The 1,447-nt window shown below is 36.9% G+C and overlaps 1 annotated feature.

Moving 5' to 3' along the window:
* Positions 683 to 852: an enhancer, noted in NCBI's record as "experimental_101359 CRE fragment used in MPRA reporter constructs". NCBI's record gives its function as "activates a minimal promoter by MPRAs in K562 erythroleukemia cells, with activity observed for both the introgressed and non-introgressed 8:13777699 variant alleles {active_cell/tissue: K562}" and the evidence as "EXISTENCE:reporter gene assay evidence [ECO:0000049][PMID:34662402]".

Genomic DNA, 1,447 nt, shown 5'->3' on the forward strand with positions numbered 1-1,447 from the left:
CCTGATGTCTTGACGATATTGAGTCTTAGCCACAAATATGGAATATCTCTCAGTTTATTTAGTTCTTTGGTTTCATCAGTTGTGTGCTTTTTATTAAAAGCATATAACTTGGGAATATTTTGTAAAATTTATGCCTAAGCATTTCATTTTCTTAGTTTTGCTAATGTAAATGGTATTGTGTTTTGAATTTCACTTTCCACTTGCTCATTGCTGGTATTGATTGATAGGAAAGCATTTTATTTTTGTACATTAATCTTGCATACTGAAGCCTTTCTATAATTGCTTATTAGTTCCAGGATGTTCTTTGTTTGTTTGTTTCCATTTCAATTTTCTACATAGACGATCAGTCATCAGCAGTTTTATTTTTTCTTACCAAATCACTATACCTTTCTTTTTTTTTTTTTTTTTTTTTTTTTTTTTTTTTTTTTTTTTGCCTTAATAAGGACTTCCAGTACAATACTGAAAAGGAGTAGTGAGAGGACACTTACTTGCCTTGGGAAAGCTTCAAGTTTCTCATCATTAAGTATAATGCTAGCTGTAATTTAAAAAAAAAAAGCTCTTTATCAAGTTGAGGAATCTCTTCTCTATTCCTTCTTTACTGAGAAGTTTTAACATGAATGGGTGTTGAATTTTGTCAGATGCCTTTCTTCATATTTTGATATAATCATGTGATTTGTCGTTTTTACCCAGTTGATTTGATGGATTACATTAATTGATTTTCAAATACTGAATCAGTCTTACATTCCCAGGATAAATCTCACTTGGTCACATATTTCTTTTATTCATCATTATTTTATTGCTAACATTTTATTGCAGGTTTTTACATCTATGGTTATGAGAGATAATGGCCTATAGTTTTCTTTTCTTCTAATGCCTTGGTCTGATTTTGTATTAGGGTAATGTTGGCCTCATGGAATGAGTTAAGAAGTATTCCCTCTGCTTTTGTGTTCTGAAAGAGATTGTGGAGAAGTGGTATCATTTCTACCACAAGTATTTGGTAGTAAACCCATCTAGGCTTTTCTAGATGCTTTCTGTTTTGGAAAGTTATCGATCATTAGTTCAGTTTCTTTTGTAGATATAGGCCTATTCAAATTGTGCATTTCTTAGAGTGTGGTAGATTGTACCTTTAAAGAAATTGGACCGGCCGGGCGCGGTGGCTCACGCCTGTAATCCCAGCACTTTGGGAGGCCGAGGCGGGTGGATCATGAGGTCAGGAGATCGAGACCATCCTGGCTAACAAGGTGAAACCCCGTCTCTACTAAAAATACAAAAAATTAGCCGGGCGCGGTGGCGGGCGCCTGTAGTCCCAGCTACTCGGGAGGCTGAGGCAGGAGAATGGCGTGAACCCGGGAAGCGGAGCTTGCAGTGAGCCGAGATTGCGCCACTGCAGTCCGCAGTCCGACCTGGGCGACAGAGCGAGACTCCGTCTCAAAAAAAAAAAAAAAAA

Source organism: Homo sapiens, chromosome 8 (assembly GCF_000001405.40).
Source record: "Homo sapiens chromosome 8, GRCh38.p14 Primary Assembly".
Taxonomy (NCBI): Eukaryota; Metazoa; Chordata; class Mammalia; order Primates; family Hominidae; genus Homo; species Homo sapiens.